General features: G+C 35.8%; 2 protein-coding genes across 5 annotated transcripts in view; both read right to left on the bottom strand.

Annotated features, from left to right (window-relative positions):
- STON1-GTF2A1L (STON1-GTF2A1L readthrough) overlaps window positions 1-13,560 on the bottom strand; it is a 246,595-nt gene that overhangs the window by 91,054 nt on the left and 141,981 nt on the right. The window contains exon 8 of one of the 3 annotated variants that reach the window (NM_001198594.1): window positions 5,857-6,131. The exons of 1 other annotated variant lie outside the window; for it this stretch is intronic. In NM_001198594.1, coding sequence (NP_001185523.1) covers window positions 6,024-6,131 — 108 coding nt within the window. In that variant the 3' untranslated portion in view covers window positions 5,857-6,023. Of the gene's footprint in view, window positions 1-5,856; window positions 6,132-13,560 lie in introns of those variants that run through there. One more of the 3 variants, NM_172311.3, reaches the window with a different exon arrangement.
- GTF2A1L (general transcription factor IIA subunit 1 like) overlaps window positions 5,862-13,560 on the bottom strand; it is a 61,749-nt gene continuing 54,050 nt past the window's right edge. For both annotated transcript variants that reach the window (NM_006872.5, NM_001193487.3), the window contains one exon: window positions 5,862-6,131. In NM_006872.5, the coding sequence (NP_006863.2) occupies window positions 6,024-6,131 (108 nt within the window). In that variant the 3' untranslated portion in view covers window positions 5,862-6,023. The remainder of the gene's footprint in view (window positions 6,132-13,560) is intronic.

Raw genomic sequence — 13,560 nt, 5'->3', positions numbered from 1 at the left:
TTCAGATGCAGGCCTCTCTCATAAGCTAGTGTTCTAAAATTTGTCTCAGCAATATAACAGAATACTAATTAGTCATGTTGCTGTATACCTAACACAAACTTTCTGTTTCATATATAAATCCCAGAACCAAAACAGCTAAGTAAGCAAAAAAAGCACAAAGGAAAAAAGGGAAATAAAATCTATTCTTGTGGAGAAACTTTAAATTACACACTCAAATGCAGTTTGAGACCAAGCTACTTGTACGCATACTCTCAATAACTTTCATGACCTTTGCACAAAAACTGATGTTTATTTTCTACATTATAAGTTTTAACACATGGAGTTACAGTTTATTGTCTCCCTCATTCTCATTCCCATATTCCCATATTCTTCAGTTGCTAAGATCTACCAGTTATTCTTTTGAATTGTCTTCTACACCAGTTAATATTCCAGGGCCAGGCATGGTGGCTCATGCCTGTAATCCCAGCACTTTGAGAGGACAAGGCAGGAGGATCACTTGAGGCCAAAAGTTCAAGATCAGCCTGGACAACATAGCGAGACCCCATCTCTACAAAAATTAAAATTAAAAAATTAGCCAGGTGTGGTGGCAACATGCCTGTAGTACCAGCTACTTGGGAGGCTGAGGCAGGAGAATCACATAAACCCAGGAATTCGAGGTTGCAGTGAGCTATGATCATGTCATTGTACTCTAGCCTGGGCAACAAAGTGAGACCCTGTCTCAAAAAAGAAAAAAAAACTTCCCATGTAAATGTAAACTGAAAAAAATATTGTATTCCTATTGCCACACCCACATCTCAGATCATTTTCCCCTTACTCCTGGAGTATCTCCCTAATTTTTATTCCTATCCAATCTTTCCCATGTCCATACTCTCATACCCACTACCACTGATTAATTGTCATAAAATCCTATTTCACCTTATTATATACCTGCAAAAAAAATCCTGAGCAATTCATCAGACCTATAAATTTAAATTTCAGAGCTTAGCCTAACATTCAGAGAGCTCTAACTTTAATTCTACTGATCTACTTTAAATCTACTAACTTTATTTCCTGCTGATTTTCTACATGAAACAAACTGTTCTAATCACTTTTCCCTAGCCATGCCCTATGAATATCCATGCTGGAGCCCATGCCATTCTCACTGTCTGAATATCTTACCCCTTACCTGTCCTTCCCTGCATCCTTTAAGGCCCTAAAACAACCATAGGTTCATCTTTTTTATCTTTTTTCTTAAAGAAAAACAAAACAAAACAAAACAACCAGAGTCTCACTCTGTAAGCCAGGCTGGAGGACAGTGGTGTGATTAAGGCTCACTGCAGCCTCTACCTCCTGGGCTCAAGTGATCCTCCCTCCTTGGCCTCCCAAGTAGCTGGAAATACAGGCATGCACCACCATGCCTGGCTTTTTTTTTTTCTTGTACAGATGGGGTTTAGCCATATTGCCCAGGCTGGTCTTGAACTCCAGTCTTCAAGAAATCCTCCTACCTTGTCTTCCCAAAGTGCTGAGATTACAGGCATGAGCCACCGTGCCCGGCCTTTTTTATTTTTAAAAAATTAAACTCTCTTTACTTTCTCCTTAATCTACTATAGTCAGGACTCTTCCTTTATCCAAAATAAAGTAGGGCATAAATAATGTATAACCCACAGTGGTCTCTCTCTTTGGACTTCTTTAGCATTTGTCCTCTGCATCACTCATTTGTCTCTTACCCTACACTGCTGGGTATTATTAATTATCTTTACAAGCACACCACTTATTCACCTATGATAGGAGTTTTTTTAGTGATACACTCATCTCTGTTTCCAACTATATCTAGAGTCTTACACATCATAGATGATTAATAATTTTTTAGCTGATTCACTTTTATAACTGAAAATAAAATTGTCCTAGTTAAGAAGCATTTCCTATATGAGATGGTCTCATAGAAAACGTGTATCCTTATTCTGTATAATCTCTCATACCTAAATCATAAAAATGCAATACTTGATAAATTTATATTTCTATTTTGTATTTTTTAACCAACATTTGATATTATCACTAGTAGGTTGCAAAATGGCTAAGAGGGGTTAATTCATCTGGAATAACTCATCTAAATTTACAAAATGATTTTAAAGGGCAATGGTATTTTTTCCTCCATTTATAACATTTGCTGTAAAAGGCATGATTTTGGTTTCCTCAAATTGTAGTGGGTCCACATGTAAATTAAGAATCTCTGTCACAAATATTTCAATAAATGTGTTTATAATTAGAAATAATGTTTTCCTCAAAATGAGCAATATTTTTATCTTTTTCCCCCTAAGAGTTATTACCTAGGGCTTTCTACTTATAATTTAGCTTTCTAGTTATAAATCACAACATTCTCACCTGGCTTAGTGTGTATTTACATGAAAACCAGGATAATATTAACCTACTAATATGAGTCAAAATAAAATCTCCCACTAAATCCCCTCCCTTTTTACCCACGACAATTAACTGATGCTATTCACTCTAAAAGTTATTCTTTTTCCTACACAACCTAAGTGACTGAAACTGAGTGTGTCAATAGATTTCTTGCTGCTCTATGGAGACTGAGCTACAGAGGTGATTATTTACATATATTATAGCCATGACTGAGGTGTTCTGCACATCGAATAAAATAGGTAAATGTACCAGACAAGGTCAGTTGGTCAGTCCCTAAGAGACTAACTGTACGAACTCAGCAAGATCTTCTTAGTCTACAGAGAAAAGAAGAAAGTATGTAGGAAAGAGCTATAGCATAGGCCAGGTGTGGTGGCTCACACCTGTAATCCTGGTACCTTGGGAGGCCAAGGCAGGCAAATCACTTGAGCTCCCAAGTTCAAGACAGGCCTGGGCAACATGGCAAAACCCTGTCTCTACAAAAAATACAAAAATTAGCCGGGCATGGTAGTGCATGCCTGTAATCCCAACTACTTGGGAGGCTGAGGCATGAGGATCTCTTGAGCCTGGGAAGTGGAGGTTGCAGTAAGCCAAGATAGCACCACTGCACTCCAGCCTGGGTGATAGAGCCAGACCTTGTCTCAAAAAAGAGAAGAGGAGGAGAAAGGGAGGGGAGGAGAAGGGGAGGAGAAAGGGAAGGGAGGAGAAAGGGAAGGGAGGAGAAACAGAGGGGAGGGGAGGGGAGAGGAGAGGAGAGGAGAGGAGGAAAAGAAGGAGGAAGACAGGGAGGGAAGAAAGAACTACAGCATGCTAACAAAAATACTTGAGAAATTCTCAAAGCATACTGACATAGAAATTTCTCTACCTATAAAAGAGCTTAGAAATGACATTTGCCAAGAGACTGTCTTTATAAGAACTTAAGAAACTTAGAGTATTTTGTTATAAAAATGCAATAGGAAATGTTTACCTCGGACATAATAAAGAGGTTCCTGAAAGTAAAAGTAATATGATATCAAAGCCAAGTCTCAGGTAAACTCTCCTGACTTACAGGGCTTTTAAAGAATAATTTTCTCTTTTAAAATTAACTAGTGTCTCACCCTATCTTTACTACACAGGTTAAAAATGTAGGTAGTGAAATCAATTTAGTGGGTCAACACCATCAATTTTTTTAATGAAACAAAACAGAATCAAATAGATGATGTCGGGAAGGCTATCATATGCTAAAGGCAGCATGATTTTCTGAAACTTTTGTTTCATTTGTGTTATGTGTGTCAGTAGACATGCAAATATATACTGAGTTGCTAAACTGTATTTCTTAGGGTAGATTCTGGCCAAAAAATGTTAAAGTCACTGTTCAGATGACTTCTCAAGAACTAGGATTTTTCCTAGCATTATCTGAGACCAATAAAAAGGTAACAGATCCAAAATAATTTGGTGATCTCTTAATTCTCTCTGTAGTCACCAGTGAAACTATGTAATTGGTTTATGTTAGCATGCAAGGAAAATTATTATTATTGTTTTGTGATAAGCGTACATTTAAATTGATTTTTTGCATTTTTAAAAGATGAGGGGCATGAGGGCAAGCAGAAACACAAATGGAACAACCATGACTAATTCTTTAATGATAAAGTATACTACACAAATAAAGAGGCCCAATATCATAACAGTATTTGTAATATACCATTTAAAAAATCACTAAAGTAAAATGAGATTTTAAAGTTCACAGTGAAAAAGAGGAAAAGAATTTTAGAAACAAATATTATTGCCTCCCCCAGGCACTTGAACCAACACATTAATTCCCAGTTCCCAGGTGTGTACACCTTATCAATAAATTCAGCCCTTAATTTGCAATAAAATTTGCCTGGGGAAAATACAGAATGACTGGGTGGGCCTGAAAGAAAACAGGAAGAAGAAAGTACACTCCTCAGCCCTGGAGTGGGTACATTTCAGAGACAGATGCAAAGGGCTCTCTTTTTGCTTTCCATGTAGAGAATACAGACATTTCATGGAAGGCAACACCCTTGAAAAGAACCCACAGCTCCTGGGAGTTCTCAAGATCCAGAGAAGGATCTAGAATAGCACTGGTAATAAGGAAAAGGTCAATCACTCTAAGGATGAAGAGGGCCTAGTGGGAGAATACAGTTAGGGGACCAGCCCACTCACTAGTACTAACTGAATCCTCATGCAGCTGCCTACTTTAGGCTGGAGACAATACCCCATCCACATTGCCCAGGACCCAGAGGAGATCCATCCAGATTTCAAGAAGATATACCAATAGCTGAGCCTCCTGGGTAGGACAGAAAAGTGTTGGAAAAAAATTAAACTCCCCAATAGGGTTGCTTTCCAAAAAGATACAGGGAATTTGCCCTGTAACCAGTCAGATCCAGGCATCGAATCCTTAAGGAGCTTTAATAGGCCATAACCTACTCATCCCTGCACTGCTCTTTTTATGACAGTTACTGTCCTTAAAAACACCATTCAGGGATAAAAACAGAGCTCCTAGACTTACAGACCATATGTGCCCCACCTGTTAAGAGCAGCAGAGTGATGGGGAAAATATTTCTTTGAGAGACGTGAATCTACTAAGGAAAAGAGTATTATAGAATAACTTATCGGAATATTAATTTGCTTTGGTTTTTATTGCCACAGGAAAATGAGGGCTATTTATCTGATGTTTTGTTTTCTCTCTGTGATTTCAAGACAGTTATCCAGTCCTCCGTATCTCAAATGAGACTGCCAAAGCAGAAATTCCTGAAGAGAACATCTCTTCTTGACTTTTGTTTCAGAAAGCCTAAAATCAATGAAGGAGATCCCTGTTAAGAAAAAGAGAGTGAGGTACTGCCTTTGAAGAGGAAAGGGTTTGCAAAGGGGTCTTCCACCGCACGAAAAACAGAAAAAGTAGGGAGAGAGAAAAAAAACGCACCATGATTAGGAAAAATACAGACATATGAAATTTCAAGAAGTAGAACAGGAACCTAACCTACTTCCTCACAATTCCCCAGAAATATAAAGAAGAATGGCCTAGCCAAATGATAAGTCCAGAGAGGCTGATCCTTAGCTACAGGGATCCTAGCCTCAGCAAAGATTTTCATGTTCAGATAATAGTATAGGCGCCTGCCTCCAGGGGACTATCTGGGCTTAAACAGTCAACATACTTCCAGTGATCAGTACAGAATTAAAACCCAAAGACGCCTTCTTGAATATCCCACTACTTAAAAGACTCCCAAGGACGTTCTATAACATGGTTTGGTGAGAGGTGGGAGGAATGCTGATCCCAATCTAATAACTGATACTGACTTTACCATGAAGGGGAACTGAAGTGTGATTTAAATTTTACTTCAAGAAAAAAGAAATGTGATACTTCTTCATGTTCCATTATCCTGATGCATCTATGCTTTGTAATGGTATAGAATGAGAGTTTTAAAAAACCCTGTTAAGACATAAAACAAAATACATATAAAATTGTGTAATTGTATCTGCATCTGAATTATAATTTTATTAAATTCCATACAGTGAACTAAAAATTTGAACAGCTCTGTGCTGGACTATATTCAAAATAAAAATGAATTCACAATATGCAATATAATCCAACTGATGTTCACAAAATAGATGTACTGAGCTCACAAGGTTTACCACTCTGCATCACCAATGGCTTTTGCAAATACATAGTCTCTCCCTCCAAAACACATAACACCATCTTTCAAATAGAATTTCCATTTGTTCTTGCTTCGATGAATCTGGAGGGAGAAAAGTAGTTTACATTAATTAATTTTACAAGTTAAAGGATCACCTGCATTTCTCTGCTACAGTAAATGGGATTATTCTCACCCGAAATGTGAGTGCCTTAAAATTAAAATCTCCTCAAGATAGTTTGTTTATTCCATAAACATTTGAGTTCCTATGTGTTAGACACTGTTTTAGGCACTGGAAATATATTAGTTTAAGATACATATATTTCTATACTGTATATATTATATATAAAAACACACATCCTGTATATGTAAAACCAAAAAAAATCCCTGCCTTTTAAGAGTTTACATTTTAATAGGGAAGGACAGAAACCTAATACATAAGTAAATTATGTAGAATATTAAGCTGTCATTTGAGGTGACACTTGAGCAAAAACTTGAAGAAGGTAAGGAGTAAAGCAAGGCAGATATTTACTCAGGAGCATTCCAGATAAAAGGAATAGAAGTGAACAGTCCTAAAGAGGGGCATGCCTGGATTGTTCAAGAACAGCACAGAGTCCAGTATGTCTGCAAAGGAATAAACAGGGAAGATGTAGCCAATATTATCAGAAATGAAAAAGTGATACTTCATCATGAGGAAGAAAGTCCCAATAAAGCACTGAACAAGGTCAGAATATACAGCTTATAATCTGTAAGACTCTGCTGGCTGTTTTCTAGATTCCATAAATCAGCCTAGACACAGACACAATAAAAAATAAGAAATTTTAATACTTCAAGAGGTAACAAGCCATAAAATCATTGCTACCTCTAAGTAAACTGCAAGTGACTATTTAAAAGCCCTAGGAATATATGATCTGAGATCAAGAGTAAAATTTAAACCTAGTTGTTGACTACAAATAGTCAAATCCAAGAACAAAGGCTGTGACTGGTATTCAGATGCATTTTGTGAAGCATAAGAAAACACACAGGATAAACCCCTATTTTTGTGGGGGGGTTTTAAAGTCCTAATAAATTTTTTCTGAGTTTTATTCCCAAATTGTCTTGCACAGTCACTTGCACGTGTCTTAAAAATCTCTCGGGAATACAACGGTGACAACAAACATCCCAAACTCAGCACAGGTAATAAAATATAAGCAGCATTAGGAGAACAACAGAAGCAACAACTAATTGTGGTACCTTTATCTAGTGACTATATTTTTTCTAGATATACAACAATAGTTCAATGTTAGGAACTTATTAATATAAAAATCATATTACTTCAGTTACTGACAAATCATATAATCACCTCTAATTGTGTTGAAAAAGTATTTAATAAAACTATTGCATATTAGATTTTTTAAAACTCCAGAAAAAATATTAAAGACTGTGTATTACACACACACACACACACACACACACACACACCCATCTCAGAGTTTACAACTATGACACTTATACTGTCTTCCCCAAACCTCACAATCTTCCCCATCTCACTGGGAAATGACCACTTATTCTTCTAAGAGCTCAAGTCAAAAATCTTAGAGGTATTCTTTATGCTTGCTACTTACATCCCATATCCAGATCCATCAGTAAGTGTTAGTTCTACCTACAAAACATATTCATATTCCAAAAACTTCTACCACTTCCACTACTGTTACTCTTATCTCAGCCATCATCTTCTCTTGCCCAGGTCAATACAATAGCCTCATAACTAGTTCCTGTTTTTACCCTTGTTCCCTGACAACACCCACTTCAGTCTACTATAAACAGGATACCCAGAGTGTCTGCTAAAAACATAAATCAGATGTCATTTCTCTTGTCGAAACTCTCCAATGACTTCCCATCCAAAAACTAAAGTCCTTACAATGGACTACAAAATCCTTTATTTTTCCTCACTTACTGCTCTGGCCTCTGCACTGTTCCCTGAACACACGGGCATACTCCTACCTCAGGACTTTTGTATTTCTTGTTCTTTCTGTTCAAAATGCTTACACTCTAATATCCTCACAGTTCATTCCCTTACTTCCTTCTGATCTTTACCCTATTACATTCTCAATAAGGCCCCCCTAGACACTCCATCTAAAATTGCAATCTATTCCTCCCCAGCATCATTAAAATAACAAATTTTATTAATTTAATGTGATCTCAATGAAAATACCAACAGGGTTTTATTTTGAACCAGACAAGTTGATTCTGGAGTTAATATGAAAAATGAACAAGAATATCCAGGAAAACTCTGCAAAAAAATTAGTAAAGAATTACTAACCTTACCAGACATTAAAAATCTTAATAATTAAATCAGAGTAGCATAGGCCTATGGACAGACAAACCAATGGAACAAAACAGAAAATCAATAAGTAGACCCAAATACATTTAGAAATGCAGTAGCAGATGATAAATCATGTCTTAACATTAGGGACGAAATAGATTTCTTAAAAAATGTTAGGAAGATTGAGTAGCCACCTGGAAAAAAAAAAATAAAAAGTTGAAACCATATGTTACATTATACACCAAGACAAACACCAAATGAATCAAGACTTGAGTATATAGATATAGATATAGATATAGATGATATAGATATAGATATAGATATATAGATATATATGAAATACTTGAAGAAAACATGAGCTTCCCTTTAAAACTCTGAGGTAAGAAAGAACTTTTTATTCATGGCTCAAAATGCAGAAGACATAAAATTAAAGATTGACAGATCCAAAATCTACATATTGAAAAGAAAAAGCAATGAAAATAACTGAGTAAAAAGTACTTCTGTGTATAACAAAAAGCTCATTTTCTCCAAAATAATATTGAGCTCTTAGAGATCACTAAATATAAGACCAAATAATCCAATTTTTTAAATAGACAAAGATTATGAACAAACAGTTCACAAAATGTAAATACAAAAGGCCCTTTAACATATGGAAAGTTAAAAATTCCAACAAGGTATCACTTTTCATCTTTCACAATGGCAAAATGCTCTTAGAGAGCATTTTGGGAATACCTAACCACGTACATTTGCCCTTTGACCCAGAATCCCATTTCTGGGGATTTAATAGATATATCTGCACACATTATGAAAATGTCTTATATACATAGTGGTTCAAATCAAAAGACTGAAAAATCACAAATATCCATCAGTAGAGGATTGGTTAAATGAATTTTAGTAATCCTACAATAGGATATTATACAGCCATTAAAATATCATCACAAAGAAAGCCTCCTCATATGGGAAGATCTGACAGATACGTTGTTTAAAGAAAAAAAGCAAGGTACAGAATATAGTGTTATTTATGCTATCTTTTGTATTTGTATTTGAATAAAGAAATTCGATGAAAACTAATATAACTACTTATTTGCATTCAAAACAGGAAAAGGAGCTACTAATAGAAAGCAAAAATGATGAAGGAATGTGAACCAGACTTTTCATTGTATACCTTTTTACAGTATTTTGATTTTTTAACCATGTGTATGCACTATCTATTCAAAGGAAATGTACATATATATAGACTATTATATAGAGAGATATATAGATACATATAAAGAGACTATATATACACATATATACATATCTCTCTCTGTATATATAAAGAAACCATGCTACACACCTAGAAATTAATCATTGTATAGCATCTAAGGGATAAAGTCAGCTATAAGCAAGTCTGCTAAACTGTCAAACGAAGATATAGGATATTCAAATGGTTTCACATTCCACTATAAATAGTGTCCTATTTGTAGCACAGAACACCTCCATCTGTAGTAAAAGGTTTCATTTCACCATTAATTTTCGCTATAATATCTTTATTATTTAAATCCTTATATTAATTTTAGACATTCTCTAGGCCTCTGAAACAAAATATCTATACCATTTAACTAATTCTCACCCAGTATGTAAACCAGTGGCCTTCATTTAGCCCTTTTGCACTGTACATGTTTATATTTTCAAAGTTTTCCCCCCAATTGTTAATCTCTAAATTTTAAAGATAAATTCCATCTGTTAATCAAATCCAAATAAAATATACTAAAGAAACCAAACACTGCTTCTCAAAATTTAACGGCCATACAAATCATTTTGGAGTCTTGTTAAAATGTACATTCTTATCCAGTACTCTGGCGTGGGACTCAGGATTCTGCATTTGTAATAGTTTCCCAGAGGAACTGATACTACCTGCCTTTAAAATAAGCTGAGTAAGTTAGCAGAGTGGCATAACAAAAGCGTGCTAAGCCCATAAAACACACTGAATTAGTAAAGCTCTAAAAGAGACTACTGAAAGTTCTTTCAATTCACTTGAGTTGGGTTACATTCAATACTATTTGAAACAAATCAACCAGTGACCAGCACTGGAAAGTTTTTCTTTCATAAAGATTCACTATAACAGTGTTCCTCACCCCACTTTGACCTTTAGATACATTCTTTTGGCTATCTTCTGACTACATCACTCCCCTTTTAAAATGTTTCAATGGTTCCCCAATGCCCTGCTTTCCATTAATTTTTTACCACTGTTCTTAAAATATTCACTAAGTAGAAGGGTTCTCAGATACTAGATTTGTTAGCAGTGTATATTTAATATCACCTCTATCTATTCCATAAGGTTATTATAAGAAACAAAAGATAATATATGATAAAACACCGCAAAAATACAAAGTACTACATAATTAATTACAAGGTATCTCCCACATTGCGGCAAACAAAGGATACCACATCCATAATGGTCTAGAAAATTCTGCATGAGACTTTATGGAATGTATATATAATTAAGTACCTTATAATGTTTTTTTATAGAAGGCAATATATTGTTTATAAGAAACTAAAACAAGTTTCAAACTAAGAACTGTTCCTTTTCTATCCCCTATTCCTTCTTATGTTTATATTTGTATTCAGCATCTAAATTGCGGTTTTCTATTTGTATAAAATGTTATAGTGGAGAAAGTGACCTTATTTTCAGAGAAAAAGATTTCTTTTTACAGCAATTCAAAACATTATTCTTTGTTTCCCCCTAAATATATTCAAATTGTGACTGGAAAAAAAAAAGGCTAAATATGTAAATACGCATTAGTTATCAGGGAAACACAAATCAAAACCGCAATGATATACCATTTCACACTCATTAGAATGGTTAGAATTAGAAAGTCGGATTATGGCCAGTGCTGGCCAGGATGTGGAGAAATTGAAACCCTCGAACACTGCTAATAAGAATGTAAAATAGTACAGCCACTTTGGAAAATAGTCTAATAGTTCCTTAAGCTGTTACCACATGACCCAGGAATTCAACTCCTGAGTATATGCCAAGACAGATGAAAACATATGTCCACGCAAAAACCTGTACCCAAATGTTCATAGAGGCATTATTCATAGCAGCAAAAAGGTATCTATGGGGTTCAGAACACATTACCCCATATGTGTTCTGGCATCCTGACATTTGAAAAAATGGCAGAAGCAGGAAAGTCTTTCTGACCTTGCCCTCACCCTTCTCCCCTGAACCAGGCCATAAAAGGATTATCTGACCTTCCTTTAAAGTAAGTCATAAAACCTTTATTACAGAGGTCCCTACCCTATACACAAAGGAAAATAAGTGTCCTTATCTCTGAAGACACAGAGACACAAAAATCTGAACAAACAGGCCTTACTACGTTTCCTCCAGTTTATTGTCATTAGATCATATCCTTTTTTCCTCCTATCATACTTCGGTATGACTGTCCAGAAAAATAGTTTTCCCTGTTTCTTTGGGTCTTCATTTCTAAATATTCCTGTGTCGGCTGGGTGCAGTGGCTCACACCTATAATCCCAGCACTTCCCAGGTGGGTAGATCACGAAGTCAGATCCAGACCATCCTGGCTAACACGGTGAAACCCCATCTCTACTAAAAATACAAAAAATTATCCGGGCGTGGTGGCAGGCGCCTGTAGTCCCAGCTACTTGGGAGGCTGAGGCAGGAAGATCCTTTGAACCCGGGAGGCGGAGCTTGCAGTGAGCCAAGATCACGCCACTACACTCCAGCCTGGGCGACAGAGCCAGACTCCATCTCAAAAAAAAAAAAAAAAAAAAAGTTTCCTGTGTCAGTAAAATGTACGTTAAAATAAATTTGAATGATTTTCTCTTGTTAATCTGTCTTTTTTATAGGTGCCTCAACCAGGGAAATAGCAATGGGTAAGGAAAAGGTATTACTTTTTTCTCCCCTACAGTGGAAACAACCCAAATGTCCCTCAAAAGACAAACGGAAAAAGAAAATGTGGTATATCCATTCAATAGACTATTATTCAGCAATTTTTTTAAAAAACGAAGACGTGATATATGTTACAACATGGATGACTCTTGAAAACACTGTGCTAAGTGAAAGAAGCCAGTAACAAAAGACCACATATTATATAATTTCTTTCATATGAAATTCCAGAATAGGAAAATCCATAGAAATAGAGAGTAGATCAGTGGTTTCTTAGGCCTACAGGCTTGGAGTAGGGAAAATGGGGAGAATACTGCACTAAGAAACAAAAAGTATGGGGTTTCTTTTTGAGGTGATAAAATGGTTCTAAAATTGACTGTGATAATTGTTATACATATCTATGAATACACTAAATAAACCATTGAATTGTATACTTTAAATAGGCGAATTGTATACTATGTTCATTATATCTCAAAGCCACTTTAAGAATATAAATATTCATGAATTAAGGACAAAAACTCCCATTTGACTACATAATCACAGCTGTAGTGTTTTTTAAAAAGCAGTATTATTTTTAGTTGCTAGAGTTAGACTGCTACTAACATAATCTCTAGGCTGGAAACCTGAGAGACACCTTCAACTAATGACCAAGTCCCACCGATTTTTCCATCATAACCTCTGACTTCTCCATGTTCTTACACTGCCATCCTCTGTCTGGGTTCTGGGCACTTCACGTCTGCCCTACCCACTTTTACCATTTGCTTTTTCCAAATCAAACACATCTGGCTTTTAAACCCAATTACAATTTTCTCAATAACCTTCTCAGAAGGCTAGTGTCCCTCAGACCAAGTTCAGATTTTTCCTACTAGCATTCAGGATATTCTAATCTGCTTCCTATTCTGTCTCCCACCCAGCTTCACTTCCTAGTACTATACATCCAATAAAAGACACTTTGTTCAAGCCAGAGCTATCTCTTCAGTGTCCCTTGTACATACTACATCCATTCATTTCTCTGCTTTTTATTGGGCTATTCTATCTGATGCTTATTCTCCATATTTACCTGTATCCTACAAGTCATTCAAGACCCATTTCAAAACCCCACATCACCCATGGATTTATGGGGAACTCCAACTACAAATGATTTCTTACATTTCCTAGCCACTTCTAGGGCTTACTATCTGTGCTGCATATCTTAGCATTTGATTTACCTGCCACTCATCTTAGCATTTGATTACATTCCACATATTTTAGCATTTGATTTACCTGTCACATATTTTAGCTGTTGATTTACCTACCATCTCATTGTATGTCTTTCTAGTTTTCCAAAAGAAACATCTTGT

Source organism: Homo sapiens, chromosome 2 (genome assembly GCF_000001405.40).
Source record: "Homo sapiens chromosome 2, GRCh38.p14 Primary Assembly".
Taxonomy (NCBI): Eukaryota; Metazoa; Chordata; class Mammalia; order Primates; family Hominidae; genus Homo; species Homo sapiens.
Note: the sequence above shows the minus strand (reverse complement) of the source record. Positions and strands in the feature narration are given on the sequence as shown.